The 22,231-nt window shown below is 34.1% G+C and overlaps 1 long non-coding RNA gene across 1 annotated transcript in view; it reads left to right on the top strand.

Moving 5' to 3' along the window:
• Nucleotides 1–7,430, top strand: part of LINC01950 (long intergenic non-protein coding RNA 1950) — a 195,818-nt gene extending 188,388 nt beyond the window's left edge. Inside the window, exons 3-4 of the long non-coding RNA NR_104671.1 lie at nt 4,150–4,228; nt 7,081–7,430. This is a non-coding gene — a long non-coding RNA (long intergenic non-protein coding RNA 1950). The remainder of the gene's footprint in view (nt 1–4,149; nt 4,229–7,080) is intronic.
• The last annotated feature ends 14,801 nt before the right edge of the window (nt 7,431–22,231 follow it).

The following is a 22,231-nucleotide window of genomic DNA, read 5'->3' as shown; positions in this document are numbered from 1 at the left end:
CAAAATAAATTTATTTTATAAAGAACACAAACAGTAATATATTACCTCAAAGGGGTCATTTAAAAAATTAAATTAGTCAAAGTAATTATCATAGTTCTGGGTACATAGCAGTGGTTGTCCATTCAATGGCAACTCCTTTCCCACATGTATAAATAAATACATAAAAATTCTTAAATTTCTATTTTTAGGACATTTACCATTTGATAGAAATTCAGACAATAGTGATTATCATGGAGAACATGAATTTAGGAAATATTTCTTTGTCATTAATTGATTTGGATTTGACTCTATTTACCTAGGTCTAAAAATGTAATGTAATTTGAAGAATGGTGATAATTAAAAACAATTGGCTGGGAGAAAAAAAGAAAATCATTTTCAGTATTGGTTATACATTTACAGTGTATCTATATATATATGAATTCACCATGTGTATATGTAAATTTAAATATATATAAATTATTTACTGTACATATATAAAATTATAGAGAATTTGTGTATTATGAACGATCATCAATGAATTGGATGGACACTCAGTTCCTAAGTGTAGGTAACTACAGATGACTAAGCAGTGCAGTTGCAGGTTGTCATTTATCATTATTTGCTCATGGCAATCATTCTCAACCTGGATTGCACATAAAATTATTTGGTGAGTTTTTAACAAAACAGTGATACCAAGAGCCTCCCCCGCCACCCAGATAATCTCACTAATGCCCAGGAAATGGTAATTTGAAAAGATACTAGAAGATTTTATTATGTGGCCATTGTGAAGAATCACGGCTTTGTGGAAAACCTGTGCAGGATTTTAAACAGAGTATAGACTTGGTAACCTAGGGTAGTCTTTCCTTAATCAGAGTACTTTTATTATGTGTAGACAAAGCCTCCATTTTTTTAGTTGATTATCTCTGAATCACCATTAATAATAATGGCATTTGATTTCAAAATGAATTATAACAGGATTTTTGAATGACAACATATTACATAAGAAATTATTTGAAATTTAAAAAATCAGATACAGCTCTAAAAATTATCTGATTACCGAGTACAAATATAATTATAATGCATGCATATCACTAAATACGATGTGAAAAGTTTCTATCTCCTCACCTAGAAATATTATTATTTCATAATCACAAATTGAAAATTCCATCTTAAGATGCAAATATTTTTTATCAGTTGGCTTATAATTATTTTAATTGAATCAATTAAATGGCATTTGCACAAATGATTATGAGGTATTATGCATGCATTACAGCAAATGAACTTTAAGGTAATGTGTAAAATAACTATGGTAGAAATATTAAGTTAGAATATTTTAATGCCATTTTAAGTATAGCAATATACTATAAGCACAAAATGTTGAATACCATCACTATTATTCCTGATTAAAATATAAAGTTAGCTGTAGCCAATAAAATAATACTTAAAGTTTAAAAGGAGATTTGTTCTTATTGTTTTGTTTTTAAAGGGTAGCAGCAATATAGGTGAGATTATAGAAACAGAATGCTGATTTGATTTTTAAGAGAGAGATAATTAGACTTGCTTTATGATGCTCAAAATAATTATCTGAATTAATATATCCTATATAAATACAATTTGAGTTTCCAATGGCAATATCTTTTAAAATCCCTGTGATTTTTATGATCAAATCATTCTTTTTACCACAGGTAAATCTGATATTTGAAACAACAAAATTGTAAAAATGCTTTTTATCTATGTAGAGGTTTTTATTTCATAACAAAACTCGCTGTGGGTTTTGGGTAGACAGAATAATGAGCTACAAAGATATCAGCATCTTAATCTCAGAACCTATGGATATGTTATCTTACATGGCAAAAGGGATTTTACTCCTGTGATAAAGTAAAAGATCTTTAGATGGGAAGCTTATCCTGAAATTTCCAGGTAGGCCCAATGTAACCACAAGAGTTCTTGAAAGAGAAGTTCTTTCAAGGGCTCTTGAAAGGTAAAAGTCAAAGTTAGAGAAAGAAGATGATGATGGAAGTAGAAGATGGAGTGTTACAATTGGAAGATAGAGCAAGGGGCCACGAGCCATGGAATGCAGCTGGCTTATACAGTGGGAAAATTTTTTTTTTTTTTTTCTGTAGAACCTCCATAAGGAATGAAGTACTGCCAGGACCGCCCACACTTTGATTTTAGCTCATAACACTTATTTCAGACTTTTAACTTCCAGAACTGTAAGAGAGTTGTTGTTTTAAGCCACCAAGTTTCTGATAATTTGTTACAGCAGCAATAGGAAACTAAAACAGGTTTCAACATGCATTACATGATTTGTTTCTATTTATTATATTTTTGAGAAATATAATTATTTCTCAAAATAAGAGATCAGGCAATACCAATCCAATAGCAAAGCCTTAATGTTGTCTCCTACATCCTTGTAAAGGATACTGGTTTTGATCTTTGTGTTCAGGTCGGGAGTTCAAGACTAGCCTGGCCAACATGGTGAAACCCCGTCTCTACTAAAAAATACAAAACATAGCCAGGAGTGGTGGCTGGCCCCTGTAATTCCGGCTACTTGGGAGGCTGAGGCAGGAGAATCGCTTGAACCCAGGAGGTCAGGTTGCCATGAACCGATATTGTACCACTGCACTCCAGCCTGGGTGACAGAGTGAGACTCTGTCTCAAAAAAAAAAAAAAAAAAAAAAAAAACAAACTATTTAGCTCTGTTTTTATCTACTATATACTCAAAGTATGTGGATCATATACTTTAGTTTAAATCAATATAAATCCTTGAGAGACAATAAAATTATTTAGGGCCCTCAGAAGCCTGCAGATAACAAAGATCATATGCTTTTTTCCTAAGGAAGCCAAAAACTTAAAAAAAAATTAATGTTCTGAATAGCAAGCAACAGAATCAACAAGCCTGGAATCTCCATGTGATACATATACTTTGAGTATATAATATTGTACATGTTATCAATGTGTGAACATTATATATTAATTTACATATAATTAATGTGCATTTAAACTGACTATTTAAATTTATCATCTGTTACACAGTTGTTATTCCGATTATGTAGATTATTTAGATCAGGAAGTTTAGGATCAGAGGTGTCAAGTAAATTACTCAAAGTGACATGGTTACTAACATAGCAAGCTTGAATTCAAATCCAAGTGCTCTAAATCCAGGTGGTCTATACCCTGGCACTGCTCTGCTTGGAAGCTCCAAAGTGCTGAAATGGGTCTGTGATAACAATGACTCCCTGGCCAGCTTAGACTCTGGACACTCAGTATGAACACAGAGCTTAGTTTGCAGTGGTAGCCAGCTTCCCAGAAGACCTAAGATGATTTCTGTCTCTTGATATTCACACCCTCGTGTAGTCCTCTCCTTCATGGTATCAGGGTTGGTCTGACTGACCAATAGCCTATGGCTGTAGTGATGGGAGGTAACTTCTTTTTTTTTTTTTTTTTTTTTGAGATGGAGTCTCCCTCTGTCACCCAGGCTGGAGTGCAATGGTGCTATCCTGGCTCACTGCAACCTCCAACTACTGGGTTCAAGCAATTCTCCTGCCTCAGCCTGCCAAGTAGCTGGGATTACAGGTGCCCGCAACCACGCCCAGCTAATTTTTTGTGTTTCACCATGTTTGCCAGGCTAGTCTCTAACTTCTGACCTCAAGTGATCCACCCACCTCAGCATCCCAAAGTGCTGGGATTACAGGCGTGAGCCACCGCACCTGGCTGATGGGAGGTAACTTCTAAGTTTAGGTTATAAAGACTGTGCTTCCATCTTGTGTGTTCTCTTTGTCACTTGTGATCACTCTTGGATCATTCACTCTGAGGAGAGCCAGATGTCATGTCACGTGGACACTCAGGCAGAATATGGAGAGCACACATGGTGAAATGGTGGTTTCCAACAATGGCTTGTAAGGAACTGAAATCTGCCAACAACTATAAGAGTAAATAGGGAAGTGAATTATCAGCCCCAATCAAGCCTTGAGGCAACTATAGCCCTGGACAACAGCTCAACTCCAGCCTTATCAGAGAACCCTAGCCAGAACGACCCAGCAATGATGCCCTAAGATTCTTGACCTATAGAAACGATGAGATTAAAAAAAGTATATTGTTTCAAGCTGCTATATTTTGGGGGTAAAGTGTTATGCGGTGATAGATAACTAATAGCTACTCTTGTTGCAGCTTCAGGTGCCTGGATGTTGAGGGGCAAATAGGACTGTTCACTGAAGGAGCTAGAGAATGGAAGAGAAGGTTGTGTCAGGTAAAGAAGGAGGAGGAAGGATAGGTTTTTCTGCCAGTGGTAGCACTTCCATACGTGTCTCCTACTCTATTTGATCTACTTTATGTTTAAGCTAATGAGGTAATATAATTTGTTCCCAAATCCACCTGACGTGTTTGTGTTCATACTGTGCTTTTCCTCAGCTTTTCCCTCTTCTACATTTATGCGTCATAATTCTTTAGCCTTCCTTCTATTTCCTGCTCAGGGACCCACTCATTCTGTGAATCAATGATTCATGTATAATATTCTCCATTTGAAGTAATGTTCTCATTTGTGCTACCAAAGCTCTCTATACATTTACTCTTCTCATATTCAGCTTTTTAAAATCACAACTGGGTGTGGGTTTCTCAATTATATTTTAAGTTTTTGAGAGAAGCATCTATGAATGACTTGTTTGTTTTCTGATTCCCAAGACTTGTAGGGTTGAGTTCAACTAAAAATAAACTCTGGAAAAAATATGTATATATTTACTTGTGCTAAAGTTGTAGTTGTATCATTGTATTTCATTTTGTTCAATTTAATATAAAGAAGAAACCTGAGTCGGGATCAGAAGGAAATAATCTCACTTGGAATGATCAAATGATAATTTGATAGCCTTGGGCTCATTTTTCTTTTTCTTTCCTTTTGTTTAAAAAAACTGCTGGGCCATACACGAGTTAATAGACTCTCCTGAGCAGAATTGCAAATCTTAAGTAATATACATATAAAATCATCTTGTTCAATTCATATATCTTTTAGGGACTCGATGTAAATTATATAACAAAAGATCCGTGTTGTAGTTTAGTTTCAGGAATGTAGATAACAGGATGAATTAACTCCTGGATTTGTCATATTAGAATCTTGTCTGGAGTCTGCATCAAGACAGACAGGTTATTAGCATTTAATTCCTAGGCAAAACAAAATTTAGCACTTATTCATTTTCAAGTAGGTATTGCAGGATAAGAAAATGTCACATTTCACGTGGTATTCACATCCTAAATTGCTAGGGTTTGAGGATAATGGAGCTACTTATTCACAAAGTGGATCTTATAGAAAATGAAAGATAGTGCTTAAATTGGCCACTAAGTTCTGGCTTGTGTCAATTAATTCCTGAGAAGACTTTTTTTTTTCTTTAAACAAAACACCATGAATGCACAGCTGCAGAATAAGTGAAAAACAGTTTTGTAATATACTTTTCAATCAATTAGGCATTTAGAAAATGTACATAGCATTATTTCAGCAAATGGCCTGGACATAAACTTTTAGTGTTTGGATTAATTCCAGTAGTCTCAGAAATTGAAAGAAAATTAACCATATTTGTGGGAATTTGTTTTTACACCCTCTAGTAATTAAGGGTAATCTACCCTATTCTGAGAGTCTTTGGGCCAGTATGGGAAAAGAAAAAAAAAAAAGGGCAGTGTTCTCAGTATCTAAGCAAAAGCCCTTTTAGATACATTAAAATTCACATCTGGGGCAAAATAAATAGTGATAAATGATAATACCTGTTTTTATGAAGTGCTCTACAAGGAGATACAGAGCAAGCTAGGCATCCTTAGAAATACTAATTGTTGATGAATATTCATCTCCTAGAGGAGCTTACATTATGTGGAAATTGAATTCAAAGTATGCTTTTAAGTAGCTAGTCTGCTCAGAAAAAAAAGCAACAAGGTGACATAAATTGTTAGATTGGCAGGATTATTATTTTTGTTTATATTGTTCCTTAAACTATTTCAGCTTTGCCACTTTTGGTCTTTTAAATTAATCTTTTATATTCCTTTCTGAGAATGAAATGCATCTAAAATAAGGAGAACATTTCATGATGTCTGCATTGTAGCCAACTGCCAAATGTAATCTTTGTCTCTGTCCACAGCCCAGAGAGGGAGACCATGTTGTGGGGAAAGCAGTATGCTAGCAGTGACAAATTCTAGTCCCAGCAAAGCTGTTCTAGATTGGGTTCTGCTTCTGGCTCTGGCATTTGGGACTTTCTGACTCTCTGTCTTGTCTTGATATTCACTTATTCTCTCTGAATCTCTTTCCATTCTGTCAACAACAATATTAGAAATATTTATAATGGGGTACCATGTGCCAGGCACTCCACTTATTACCTCAATAAATTTTGAATGGCGTAGGCATAAAGGTGGCCTAATGGGTAAGTGAGACAGTTCACTGGAATCTAAAATGTAACTGTAATTGCAGTAGCATAGCCATGGGAAAATTAAATGCTGCTCTGGGCATACAAAGCTTAACACAGGGGCAGGTGAAAAAGTGGCATGGAGGAAGTGCCGCTTAGGCTGTGACATGAGGGGTGAGATAATACGCGTAAAGCAAAGTACAGACATGGACCATTATTATTATTTGGCAGATTGGCTCTATTTTAGAAGCCAAAAATGACAATTGAATCCATAAGTCTGCTCTTTGGCCCAAACTATTCACATCAGCAGTTAGAGGTGGTTAAATCTGTTTGATTTTACAAGAGATAACTTCACTATTGAATGAAAGAGCGTTTTCCCATCTAGCCAGATGCATAAAGATAGTTTAGAAGCCATTCTTATGTTCTATACAATGGATAAATTTCGTTTATTTTACTAAATAAAGTTTATTGAATTCCATGAGATACTTGAAATTATTTCTAACTGGGCAATTCTTATTTAAAAAAATAATTTTACTGGTATTAATAAAACTTATTTTTTAAAATATTACTTTTTATTGTATCTTTTAACATAGGAAATCTAGTGTTGTTATTCTGGATTGGGGCAGACAGGCATATGCATATTTTAACTTCAAGCAATAACTGCATTGAAAAGCTAACAACTCTTTCACTTTATTTCCCCTCCTCTCCTATACCTTATCCACAGATAGAAATAACAGAAGCTTTCTGAAATGAAAACAGAAATGTTACAACTTGCACCACAGTACTGGACTGAAACGAAGATGTAACACAGCCATAATAATTTAAATTAATAGCAAATAAATAAAGAAAAAAAGAACTTCATTGTGAGGACCATAGTCATGGGATAGCTCTGTCTTTTCGGGGAAAGTGGAGTAGAGGGACAGAGTCACCCCAGGAGAAAAAATGCTTAAATTAAGACTCCCTGAGAGACTGAATAAGAGTATGATTAGTTCAGCCTTGCTTTCATCCTCCACTTCCCCCTCCCACTGTAGACTTCAGTTTTAATAATGATTAAAGAATAATGCCTGAATCCCATCTGAATGGCTTTTGAGATTTAACTCACTGAATCTATTCATAGCTTTGAGCTTGTAAGGGGGACTGAACAGATCTGCACAACTAATCGTGGAATATTACACTGATACTTCATCTCCCACATCAATACCAATTACGCCTGCACAGAGAGCATCACATATTATTTTAATAGGATAGGAATTTTTAATCCAGTCAGGTAGTTCTGGATGAATGTGTTTGTATGTCTGTCATTAAAATTTGGTGGCTCATGCTGCTCAAGACAGACACATTTTGAATGTTTAAAATTTCCACAGATGTTATTTATCCATCAGGATGGAAAATTTCCTGCTCTCCAGTGTATAGATTCTGCCTCATTAACATAAATAAAGAATAAGGCATAACAACAACAATCTTGCTTAATGTGTACACACAGAAATATTGTCATAGGCATCTGGCAATCAGTTGGAGACGGTGAAAACTGCTAAATGAATGAAAGTGGCAGAACTAGCAGAAGTATGAGATCCCATACTGGAGAAAAAGGCTCACTGTTAAAATATTTTGTTTCTTTGTTCTACTCCTTTTTTATTTTCAAGGCATTTTATTCAGCTTGGACCTTCAGATAAAAGGCACCTTTACCTATTATTTGAGCTGTTAACATTATTTAAAAATTCCTTCCCTTAATTGAGAAGTAAAGATAAATTTCTCTCAAAGCTATTTGGTTAAAAAATCATAAAGAAGAATGCTAACTTTTTAACAGCAGCATCTATATGTCACAGGCATGATTTGAGATCGTGATTGTAAAAGAAATACAGCTAATAGCGGTATATCCCTTGTTCCATTCAAGAAAATACCTTTACAGAAGTTTGAATATTACATTTGAAATTCTTTTTACTATTCATTTATAAACTTTGCAAGTTTCTAAAATCTAGGGAATGATAGTAAGACAGTTTTGGTTTTGACTTCAATAAGAGCTTATAAAAATCGAATGGAAAATTTTCATTAATGATACATGCATTTTTCACCGTCTTTCTTTAGACAATGTTGGCCACTTTGCTACTTCATGTTGACTCTTTTCATTTCTATATTCTAAACTAGGCAGAAAGCTTTCTTGAGGGCAAGGATCATGCTTTATTCGTCATACATAATGATGGATTCAGAGGAGACATGTTATGTATTTTCTTTTTCTTCGTGAGCAGATTAAAATGCTATGTTCTTTGCCTGAGGTTATAAATAATTAGATATTTGAATTGACAAGATAAAAACAGATACAAAATCTATTACAAAAGTTATGATTCTAAAAACATATGACACACAAACAGAGTATTTTAGCTATCTGAAAAACTAATTGCCCAAGAAACCAGCACTGAAAAAGCAGAATTTGATATTAAAAACACATTACAATTCACATTAGCATCTCCCAAAGTAAAATACTTATGTATAAATCTAACAAAATATGTATAAGGTCTATGTAAGGAAAACTATAAAACTCTGATATAAGATATCAAATAATAAATAAATTGAGAGATAGCTCATTTTTATGGATAGGAAGACTCAATTTTGTCAAGATGTCAATTCCTCCCAACTTCATCTATAGAACCAAGTCAGTCTGAGTCAAAATCTCATCATGTTATTTCATGGCTATTGACAAACTGATTTTGTCAAAAGACCTGGAAGAGCCAACTCATTGTCGAAGGAGAAGAATGAAGTGGGAGAAGTGACACTACCTGACTATAAGACTTACTTATTATAAAGCTACAGTAAAAAATAATAGTGTGGTATTGACAAAAAACAGACAAATAGATCAATGGAACAGAATATGGAAACCCAGAAGTAGACCCATATAAATACAGTAAACTCATCTTTGACATAAAACAAAGGCAATACAATAAAGCAAAGATAGTTTTTTTTTTCAGCAATGGGTGCTGGAATAAATGAACATTTGTACACACACACACACACACACACACACATATAAATCTAGGTACAGACCTTACACCTTTCACAAAATTTAACTCAAAATGGATTATAGACTCAAATGTAAAATGCAAAACTATAAAACTCCTAGATAATAATCTCTGAGAAAATCTAGGTGACTCTGGATATGATGATGAGTTTTTAGACCTGATACCACAGGCATGATCATAAAAAAAAAATAGTGTTGGAAGTTCTGACCAGGGCAATCAGGCAGGAGAAAGAAATCAAAGGTATTCAATTAGGAAAAGAGGAAGTCAAATTGTCCCTGTTTGCAGATGACATGATTGTATATTTAGAAAACCCCATCGTCTCAGCCCAAAATCTCCTCAAGCTGATAAGCAACTTCAGCAAAGTCTCAAGATACAAAATCAGTGTGCAAAAATCACAAGCATTCCTATATACCAATAACAGACAAACAGAGAGCCAAATCATGAGGGAACTCCCATTCACAATTGCTTCAAAGAGAATAAAATACCTAGGAATCCAACTTACAAGGGATGTGAAGGACCTCTTCAAGGAGAACTACAAACCACTGCTCAAGGAAATAAAAGAGGATACAAATAAATGGAAGAACATTCCATGCTCATGGGTAGGAAGAATCAATATCATGAAAATGGCCATACTGCCCAAGGTAATTTATAGATTCAATGCCATCCCCATCAAGCTACCGATGACTTTCTTCACAGAATTGGAAAAAACTACTTTAAAGTTCATATGGAACCAAAAAAGAGCCTGCATTGCCAAGACAATCCTAAGCCAAAAAAACAAAGCTGGAGGCATCACTCTACCTGACTTCAAACTATACTACAAGACTACAGTAACCAAAACAGCATGGTACTGGTACCAAAACAGAGGTATAGACTGATGGAACAGAACAGAGGCCTCAGAAATAATACCACACATCTACAACCATCTCATCTTTGACAAACCTGACAAAAACAAGAAATGGGGAAAGGATTCCCTATTTAATAAATGATGATGGGAAAACTGGCTAGCCGTATGTAGAAAGCTTAAACTGGATCACTTCCTTACACTTTATACAAAAATTAATTCAAGAAAACCTAGGCAATACCATTCAGGACATAGGCATGGGCAAGGACTTCATGTCTAAAACACTAAAAGCAATGGCAACAAAAGCCAAAATTGACAAATGGGATCTAATTAAAATAAAGAGCTTCTGCACAGCAAAAGAAACTACCGTCAGGGTGAATAGGCAACCTACAGAATGAGAGAAAATTTTTTGCAATCTACCCATCTGACAAACAGCTAATATCCAGAATCTGCAAAGAACTTAAACAAATTTACAAGAAGAAATCAAACAACCCCATCAAAAAGTGGGCGAAGGATATGAACAGACACTTTTCAAAAGAAGACATTTATGCAGCCAAAAGACACATGAAAAAATGCTCATCATCACTAGCCATCAGAGAAATGCAAATCAAAACCACAATGAGATATCATCTCACACCAGTTAGAATGGCAATCATTAAAAAGTCAGGAAACAACAGGTGCTGGAGAGGATGTGGAGAAATAAGAACACTTTTACACTGTTGGTGGGACTGTACACTAGTTCAACCATTGTGGAAGACAGTGTGGCGATTCCTCAAGGATCTAGAACTAGAAATTGCATTTGACCATTACTGGGTGTATACCCAAAGGATTATAAATCACGGCGCTATAAAGACACATGCACACGTATGTTTATTGTGGCACTATTCACAATAGCAAAGACTTGGAACCAACCCAAATGCCCATCAATGATAGACTGGATTAAGAAAATGTGGCACATATACACCATGGAATGCTATGCAGCCATAAAAAAGGATGAGTTCATGTCCTTTGTAGGGATATGGAAGCTGGAAACCATCATTCTCAGCACACTATTGCAAGGACAGAAAACCAAACACCACATGTTCTCACTCATAGGTGAGAATTGAACAATGAGAACACATGGACACAGGAAGGGGAACATCACACACCAGGGCCTGTTGTGGGGTGGGGGGAGGGGGGAGGGATAGTATTAGGAGATATACCTAATGTAAATGACTAGTTAATGGGTGCGGCACACCAACATGGCACATGTACACATATGTAACAAACCTGCATCTTGCGCACATGTACCCTAGAACTTAAAGTATAATAATAAAAAAATTGATAAACTGGATTTTATTAAAAATAAAAACTTCTGCTATGTAAAATGCAAATTCAAGAGGGTGAGAAGACAAACCACAGATGGGGAAAATATTTGCAAAAGACAAATATAGTAAAGAACTGGAATCCGAAAAATGTAAAGATACCTTAAAACTTAACAATAAAAAATGATCAACCAGATTAAAAAATGGGCAAGAGACCTGAGCAGACACCACCCCAAAGAAGATATACAGATGACAGGTCAGCATATGACAATATGTTCTATGTCATATGTCACTAGGGAATTACAAATTCTGTTAAAACAACAAGGAGATACCACTATATACCTGTCAAAATAGCCCAAATCTGAACTGCTAACAACACCAAATGCTGGCTTAGCTATGGAAAAACAGGGACTCTCATTCGTTACTGATTAAAATGCAAATACTACAGCCACTTTAGTAGACAGTCTGGCAAATTTTTAACAAAATGAACTTACTCTTACTATACAATCCAGCAATTGCCTTCCTTGATATGTGTCCAAATGAGTTGAATATTTATTTCCGCACAAAACTATACATGAATGTTTATAATAGCTTTATTCATAATTGCCCAAACTCAGAGGCTGCCAAGATATCCTTAAGTTGGTGAATGGACAAATAAACTGTGGCACATCCAATAGAGTATTCTTAAGTGCTGAAAAGAAAGGAGCTTTCAAACCATGAAAAGACATACAGAAAATGTACATGAATATTACTAAGTAAAGGAAGAGTATCTGAAAAGGTGAATACTGTATTATTCCAACTATATGACATTCTGGAATAGGCAAAACTATGGATAAAATATTAAGATCATTGATTGCCAGGGGTGATGGGGAGGGAGTGTTGAATAGGCACAGTATAGAGGAATTTCAGGGCAGTGAAACTATGATATTATAATAATGAATACATATTATTTAACATTTGTCAAAACCATAGAGTATACAACACCAAGAAGGCACTCTAATGTAATCAATGGACTTTGGGTGATAATGTCCTGTTGATATAGTTTCCCAGATTTTAACAAAGGTACTGCTGTGGTGTGAGATGTGGATAGTGGGGAAGCCTGTGCATGTGTGGGACAGGGGGCATATAAAAACTCTGTACTTTTTGCTCAATTTTTCTGTGAACCTAAATCTTCTCTAAACATAAAGTGTATTAATTTAAAAATCAAATTTTTAAGTGACAAACATAAATGTGAACATTATTCAAGTCCACTCACTCATTTTTACTTTTTCTGATAGTTAAAACTTCAAGTTCCAGTTGGCAAAGAAAGGGCCTTTGGTAAGTATTTCATTTTGTTGTTGTATTGTGGAGGATTAAGTCGGGCATTTTAAATTATTTCTTTACTTTTTACAAGACATAAGGCAGACTTCTTTATTTACATGTAGTCTTAAACAGCCACTACATCATTCAGGGTACTCTTTGCAAGCAACAGAAACCAGCTTTTGGTAGTGTAAGTAGTAAATGAATTTCTTAAAAGGATATTATGAAGCTCACAGAATTTTTGAGAGTTCAAGAAAATGGGACAAGGAAGCTACTCAGCCAGAAGCAGGGCTTCAGATCTCTCTGTGGACCTGATCCTGTGAAAACACCATGGCAACTGCCTCTGGTCACAGACACTGCAGCTTGTATTTCCAACATCACCAACTTTGGGCACACAGTGCCTCTTTTTGAATCAGCAATTGATGCCTCTGAAAATTGAATGAGCCATTATTATTGTCACTTATACCATTCTTGACAGAATTGATGCTGCTCAGCTTCTGCTTCATCTTTTCATCCTTAGTTTTCATTTGAGCTGCTGGAGAATTGAGGCTTCAAGAACTCTGGTTGGTTGAGGCTATGTATGACTTATTTTGTCCTAAATCCAAGAAAGCTCAGGAAAGTGACACTCTCACATTTTTCATTTCTAGGTGAAAAGGTGTTTATACCCTGATCACTCAAAAAGAAAAACACAAATCTCCTACACAATGATATGTATATACCATCAGCTACATAAATGATAATCACATGCATTTTTAACCAGGAAAATATATTGCTATTTACCTGGTGCCCCATTTGTTGCCATGCTGGACCGTGGCTTATGATGATATTGATATTACGGTTTTATCCTGGTTTTGTTTTAATGGGCAAGTGAGTGATGACAATGAGCTTCTGTGTCAGTAGGGTATATTATAAATTGGAGAAATAAGACTGATGGCTGAAGAACAGAATTAGATAACTAGTAGTGAGAATGTATGCAATGTTCCATACATTTGTTTATTTATTTAGGTAGGTAGTTTGTTCAGAACTCCTCTGAGAATTTGTTGAATTCTTGGTCATTGATGCCAGAGAATGTACATACTTATGAAATTATGCAAAACTTGATAGAGGAATAAGCCTGGATCAGAAAAACTTGAAGTTGTCAAATAATTGGATGTGGAAATTGAAAAAACAGGAAAAGCCACTAAATCCTTAAATGTTTCAAACCTGAATGATGACAATAAACAAGAAAATGATGAAGTTTTTATGGTGTGGATAAATATTGACACTTCCCTTTAAATTGGAATCAAAACCAGGCTATTGTAAATGGCTAAGCATCATGTCTTTCATAGTTGTGTGCTGAGTAGTTGGAGGATGCAGAATTTTGGGCAGGACTTTCATTATAGGTTTTGGATAGAACATCTTACAGAGCTGACTTTGGAGGGATGTGGCCATGTGCTCTTAGACTGAAGAGAATAACAGAAAAAGCATGTAGAGAATGCTGATGACTTTGCTCACATATAGTCTTTATTGTATTCAGCCCGAGTTTTAGTAAAGTGGTATTTCTTTGGCACCTTTGAAGTGTTTCAAAATTATTTTCTAATAGTAAATTAAGTACTGTTGAAAATTTGCTTCACTTTTTCTTCCATATAGCAATAACCTCTGTCATTGCTGAAGGAGGGTAAATTTACATAGCTCCAGCCACCATGACTAGATTTTTATTATACTGGGTTATAAAGAAAATAAATGGAATTATCTTGGCTCAAGGTCATTTGCAATAGGATAAGATACCATCAATTTAGACAGTTTAGTTGCCAGTCTCATTATAAGTTGAAAGAGACAAGCTGACCTCTCAAACTACTTCTCAAGATAAATTCATAAGCTTTTATGAGCTATCAATCCCCCAAACTCATTATCCAAGACTGATGTCCTAGTCCTTTTGTTACTATTAGAATATGGTGAAAAGCTAGCCCCTAAACATTATTTTCTCCCTTCTGCTGGGATTAGAATTAGTAGATGATGTAGAGAAATGAAAACTAAATGTCACGATATGTTCACAAAAAAGATGAGATGGCCATTTGATGGATATTTGTACAATTCTACATCTTTAGCTTGATTCATCTTTAGAGCCAAAGAGATTGAATTAATAACACAAATTATGCAATTCATATATTGTATCTCTTTGAGGCAGATAAAGATAATTATTTATAGTTACTTGAAATTCATTTAAAATTTAGTTAGATGTATAATTAAGAAGGATAATATTTTAGAATATGTAGTATGAATACTTGCCAGTTTTATTTAGCATTATTCAGAACCTATTAGTCGATAAAAAATGAGAATTTTTAATGTAATGTTAATTTATTTGTTAATGAAAAATTGACAATTAACTTTGAATAAGTAAATTAAATTGTTTTACAATAATACAATAATATTATTGTATTACACATTACAATATATTACACATATATATGTTTAATCCAATAACACAATGGATTAAACATATATTTTAATTTTATTTAATTTTATTATCCAATAATACAATGGATTAAACATATATATGTGCGCATAGCATCTCTATTATCCATATATGCATATTCATATTATGTTACACTCTCCACATGTTTATATTTAGTCCATTTCAAATAATGTATTTTTTTTTTGTAATTAGAGTGCATTTTGGTAATGCGCTTTCTTAAAAGAAAAATATCAATCAGTGCATTGGGTCATTGAAATTTAGAGCCAGAAGGAATAATAAGAATTATATAATAAAATCATCAAACCTGACTTTTTACAGATGAAAAGTCAAAAGAAATGAAAAGATTTGTCCACTATCATGGGAAGATTTGTCCACTATGATCAGTTTGATCAGAAGGGTCTCAAACTGATTTCCTAGTTCATAGTTCAGTCTGCTTCCCACTATATAAATTAAAACTTCCTATTTTTCTATCTCAAGAAGAGAAGGAAAACCAGCTTTAGCGCACCAAGAAATCTTTTGTAACTTTCCATTTTGGAGTTCTTTAATTAGTAGAGACCATGATGGTAATCTGTATTAGCCCAGTTATATTACAGAGTCTTCATACACGTGGATGTTGGATGCAAACTTCTGTTGTTCTGAACCTTTATTAAATAAATATATTAAAAAATTCAATTTGTTTTTATTTTCTTTCCTTGCTTGAGTTCACTTCAGTTAATAAGTGTCTTCCATTGGGTCAAACCAAGAAGTCTCAGTCTCTGCAGGTTTGAAGTTCTTTAGCCATAGCTTTAGCTAGCCAACGCATTCTCTCTGTAGAGGTTCTCTACTGAGATTTCAAGATTTGACTCTACAAAGACTGATAACAGAGGTTTTCTAGGTGTCCTGTTACCACATAACTAAATGCTAAATGTCTTACTGCCCTCTTGTTTATGTTAAGGTCTCCTTTAATAGTTAATTGCATAATAATGTTTGTGAAATTGCTATAGAATCATTTACTATTAACTATTTAAAGTCTTAAATGCACCCTTGTTCAAATAAATATGTTTCTGAGATGGTTGTTAAAGCAATTTGCTTTTCATAGCTAGTGACTTTTACAGACTTAGTAAGTCTGGATAGGACTATAAAATGATTAAAAGGTATTCATCACTCCGATTTAATTTTATTTAATAGCTGATATTTCTTAAAAATTAAAATGACTATTTTTAAATTAAAAATGGGAAAAATGTTTACTCTAAAAAGTCATTTATTTTTTAAAAGACTGGTCCATTGGTATAAGTACAGATTCTGAAAGAGCTAATGCTTTATCTGAGTCACAGCTACAATTGAAGAGAAAAAGGAAAACAGGAAAAAACAAATTGCAATGAGGGCAGATTGCTATTTGGAAAAATATAATGATTAATCTAATTTAGCTCATAACTGACATGTATTAAAACCTAAGTTATTTTTGAGTCAGTAGAAAGCCAAAGTACAAAAACAAGTGATACAATCCTGCATTACAAAAATGTTTTTTCAATTCATGTATTAACTTTATAAGGGAAATTATTTCAGATTTTTATATGTATTATTTGACAATAAACTACTTATACAATTTTAAATGTTTATTTATTGCAATGTGAAAATTGCAAAACGTTTATAGAATCAAGACAAAGCCCATGCCATTGCTTTTTTCAGCCATTACAATTTTTTTTTTTTAATGTGTTGAGATTTATAATAGTGCATAGTTTTGTTGAGCCAGATAAGAAAGAATCCACTGGTTTTTGTTAACTGGAAAGACTAAATAAAAACAGTTCAAATATTATTTGATTCATTTCCTTATTTCTTTATCTTATACTACCTGCTCTCTCCAACATCTTGATTTAAAAAGTCTCAGATTCTTTGTATTTACATGTTTATGGGGGACAACAAAAATGAAAACAACAATCTATGAAGCTATTGCTCAAATCATGTTTAAATGTATTGAAAGGTTCTGATGTGAAACATTATTTTTTGTATCAAGAAGATAACATAATGATTAATATCCCAGTCCCTGTCGCCAGAATGCTGGGGTTCTAAGCCTTGCTCCACCACTTAAAATTTGAGAGAACTTGAACCAGTTACTAGACTATCAATGCCTGTTTCCTCAGCTACCAAACAGGAATACACATAGACCCTACCTTCTTGGTTTTATGTGCAAGAGTTAAATCTGGTAAAGCATGTTTAGTATGGTGGTCTATACTGACATATAGGAAGCATTCAATAAATATTTGTTTTCTTATAAGGTGAGTTTAGTTCTATTTTTATGAGAGGAAATTCCCCTTGAAAATGCAAATTTCTTGAGATACATATTTTGTTTTACTCATGGGTACTTTAATAATATTGTAATTTCCATATGGAAAGAAATAGAAATTTGCATGAAATAATTTATATTCAACCTTCAGTTTATTTCTGAAGAATCCTTAAAGAATCTACAAGGGTCAGAAATTAATTCTAACCTGAAACAATTGACTCATTTATTAGAGGGTATATCTCCTCTTAAGTGGATGGGATCTTTTGATCTCTATGAGAGCTGTATGTAGAATTGAAGATATAAAAATCTATCAAATATTTCATTATTAACCTCAAATTATAAGTCTGTATCCTGGTGAAATTACCCTTTCACTCTAGATTTCCTGGAAACTCTGTTTCATAGAATAGAGATTTAATTCTCATTCTTCATTTTGAAAGAAAATTAGACCAGAAACCCAGGCTCTTTGGGGTATATCTGCATGTTCACCAAATAACGGCTGCCTGGACAAATAACACATTCTTTGTTGTATCCAGGACCTATAGCAACATCTGTCTTCTTGTCCATCTTTCTCTTTCATGAAATAAAGCAACCACCCCAAGTGGCTAAAAGGCATACAGATCCCAGTTATGCACACTAAACATATGTACGGAAACAGTCTATGGCTAATTTTATGGCCTTTAGATGCAAAACTGGGTGACGCATATCTCCAGGCACCAAAATCAGGATGGAGACAATGCTTCTTTCTTCAGTGCTTCTTTTTTTGCTTTTTTACGTCTTTATATCAATAAAAGAATATCTTCACATTGCTTGAACATACCAGGTGTCAATGAAACTAGAGGAGGTATTTTTATTCATTAATTTTCCAATCTGGAAAGTGTAGACAGTGAGTGTAACATCAGGCATAAGATAAATGAGACTCTGCTTACTCTCACAATTTAGTGCTAAAGTTAAAATGCTAATTCTTTAAGCCACACTTTCCTCTCAAACTCTAGCCACTTTGATAGTTGAAACTGTTGACTGTATGCAGCAAAAATGTTTACAATAAAATATTGAAAAAAATGCAGCTCCTTGCAATATAATTGCACTGATTATCCATAGCTTTCATGTGATTTTTCACCTTCAGAAAATTCGTTAATTCGTGATGAGTGGTGATGACTATTCTTTATATGTACTATAAGGATCTAAAATTCAAATTCCTACACAGTAAAAACAAATGACCCACATCAACATGTAGATCAAGATAGATATCTCTATCTGGGTAATATTCCAATTCTTAGGATTTTCTTTAAAAGACACGCAATGTCTATGAGAGTTTAACATTTCAACACATTTGCCAGTAAAATAAAAATATTCTGGGATTGATCTCCCATTCCAAATGTAGCAATAAAATGTACAGTTCTGTGATTATGTAAAATTTCTCATTAGCCTATTTTTGCATAACCACTTTAAATGAATTAATCAATTTTGACCACATTTTATATACAATTAAGCATATTAGGATCTGCTTGGAGTTGTTCAGGTCCCGCAAGGAAACAAGACAGCACTCTCAGGGATTGAAATGGGTATATTTGGTAAATATTTTGATACAGTTCTCCATATCTAGAAGGGATACCAGATTGCATAGCAATATACTCATTTTATAGATGATGCTTGAAATAAGACCCACTCAATGTCACATGTATAGTTAGTGGCCTAACAGGGATTAAATCCCAAGTCTCTTCTCTGAATTCACTTATCTACTCACCACAAGAAATGCAATGAAAGTTTCTCAGTGAGTAGAGACTCTACATATTTCAGGTGATAATAACTAGGTCTGTAACTGCCAAATTTTTTAAAATACTTTGGTCTATAACTTCTAATTTTTTAAAAATTCCATTAAAATATATATTTCATATACTATAATTGGCAAAAACTACAGTTACTTTTGCACAAAGCTAAACACACACACACAGAAAGAGAGAGAAATAGAAAAATATCCAAGGTAACAATATCTTCTATAAAATGATATCAAAGCTCATAGACAATGATTTTTAAAATTATTCTTCAAATAAAATATTTTGGTTAGCAATTGATCTTTTGACTGAGTGGAAGAAAGTACAACAGTAAGTGACATAGTGTTATTATATACCATTTAGAATCTGTGATGATACTGAATGTCAACTTGATTGGATTGAAGGATACAAAGTATTGATCCTGGGTGTGTCTGTGAGGGTGTTGCCAAAGGGGATTAATATTTGTGTCAGTGGGCTGGGAAACACAGAGCTACCCTTTATCTGGGTGGGCACAACGAAATCAGCTACCAGTACAGCTAGAATATAAGCAGGCAAAAAATGTGAAAAGATAGACTGGCCTAGCCTCCCGGCCTACGTATTTCTCCCGTGCTGGATGCCTTCTGCCCTCGAACATCGGACTCCAAGTTCTTCAGTTTTGGAACTCGGACTGGCTCTCCTTGCTTCTCAGCCTGCAGATGGCCTATTGTGGGACCTTGTGATCGTGTGAGTTAATACTTAATAAATTCCCGTTTATATACATGTACATACACACACATATATATTCCGTTGTTCTGTCCTTCTAGAGAACCCTGACTAATACAGAACCTCTTTGTGTGAAGTCTCCACTGACTCAATTTAGGGAATAGTTTAGAAATATGTTCATTGGCTTTAGTTTCTTACGATATACTTTATTAGTGTTGATTTTGGCATGTTAATTTGTTCTAAGTAAGCACTTAATTTGTTCTAAGTAAGCACTCTTTATTAGTGTTGATTTTGGCATGTTAATTTGTTCTAAGTAAGCACTTAATTTGTTCTAAGTAAGCACTCTGTCCATTATTTAATGTGCCTACTACAATTATTTATAGAAAATTATAATTTCATATGTATGTGAAAAGTCTATCAATTGACCTCATGCAAGGAGTTGGATATGTGCATTTGTAATCATCATACCACAGTTCTTAATTCATCATTTCAGACACCATTGAAGAGTATTGTAGTATTGAGAGGCATTTTGGCAAATAGTAAATGAGAATAAAAGAACCTAGTTCAAACTGAAAATTAAACTGCATTTCTAAATGCTTTAATATAAGAGAGCAAGTTCATTGCTTTTTAAAGTGTCTGGCCATTTCATTTAATGAATAATCTATTTATTGTTTATAATATACTAGATTTCAATTTTTCTGACTTAATGGGAATGAATACATGATGTCAGTGTATCGTCTTGTGTTTTTTCCTTACATTTGAAAGATCTCCTTCAAAATGATAAACTACACCAGGATAGATTTCTGCTATTCTTCTGGTTCTCAGGAAATGTATGAGGTTGAATGTAAATTGAACAGGAAATGGTGAACAGTGTGGTTTTCAGACTGCGCATACTTCCTAAGAATCTAAATTTGGAAAAGAGACGTTGAAGTTTGTATCTCTTGATTCACATTTTGTTGTTTAAATATTAAAATGCAAATGTTAGAGTTTTTTTTTTATTGGAGCAGTCTGATAACTGGTAGGTTCTGATTCTCCTTAAAATAATTATACTAATTAATCCCACTAGTATGATGTTGAAAATCTGGTTAATTTCACAATAAATATGTCTGCTCCTCACTCCTTCAAATACATAGATTCATTAGCTTGTTTGAAAGACTTTATACAAATTTCCTTCTCAGTAAAAATCTGACACAGATTAAACTCTAACATATCGTAGGCAACTCTTCTTATATCTAAAGACAACTGTTTACCACAAACTCCTCAAGTTTTGACTATGAGAATAAGATATTTTAAATAATTTAACTGTACATGTTAAGTTGCAAGACATTTTAATACCCTCTCAAGAGTCATGGCTATTGTGACAAATCCATCAAAATATGGAGTAAGCTGCATTTTCAAAATCTTTTGTGACTGAATATGTTTCTATGTTTATTAAGGAGATGTATCATATTAGGAATTATAGTGTCGCCACTAACAAAATCAGAGTAATTCAAGAACCTTGATGAACTGAGGAGATGGGAGCATTATGAAAGAAGTAAGTTTAATCAAACTGAGAGTAATGTAGTCTTAGAGGTGAGCAGGGAAAAAGAGGAGCTAAATTATTCCTTTTCTTATTCCCTATAAACTTTATTATATTATCTGCTGGTTTGATTTTTAATGGAAAGGGGAGACTGGTTCTTTAAAGGGCTTTGAACCTGTTTCAATAAGAAAAATGGGATAGCTCTCACCTATGTAATATTTTTTGGATAGGGTACCCCAAATAATCAGGGAGAAGCAGACCTTCAAATCTTTTAAAATTATTGCCATTGAGCATGTGAAGTCTTCTTCCTCAGGGCCTACCCAACCCACATGGGCCATGTATTATCATGGCCCTTGCTCATGTATTGTAAATCAGTGTAGTGGGTTGAATAGTGGCCTCCAAAACTATATGCCCCAGATCAAATCTCTGGAATCTGTAAATGTTGCCTTATTTAGAAAAAGAATTGTCATAACTGGAATTAAATTAAGGGTCTTGAAGTGAAGAGATCATCCAGGATTTTTTGAGTAGGCCCCAAATCCAATGGCAAGTGTCCTTGAAAGAGATAAATGGGAGGGATTTGTGAGGCAGAAGCAGAGTAAGTGATACGAAGACAGAGAAAAGATTAGAAGAATGTGGCCACAGTCAAGGAAGCCAAGGAATGACAATGGCTACCAGGCTCTGGAAAAGGTAAGGAGAGATTACCCTA

Source organism: Homo sapiens, chromosome 5 (genome assembly GCF_000001405.40).
Source record: "Homo sapiens chromosome 5, GRCh38.p14 Primary Assembly".
Taxonomy (NCBI): domain Eukaryota; kingdom Metazoa; phylum Chordata; class Mammalia; order Primates; family Hominidae; genus Homo; species Homo sapiens.
This window is presented reverse-complemented; position numbering and strand designations above follow the sequence as displayed.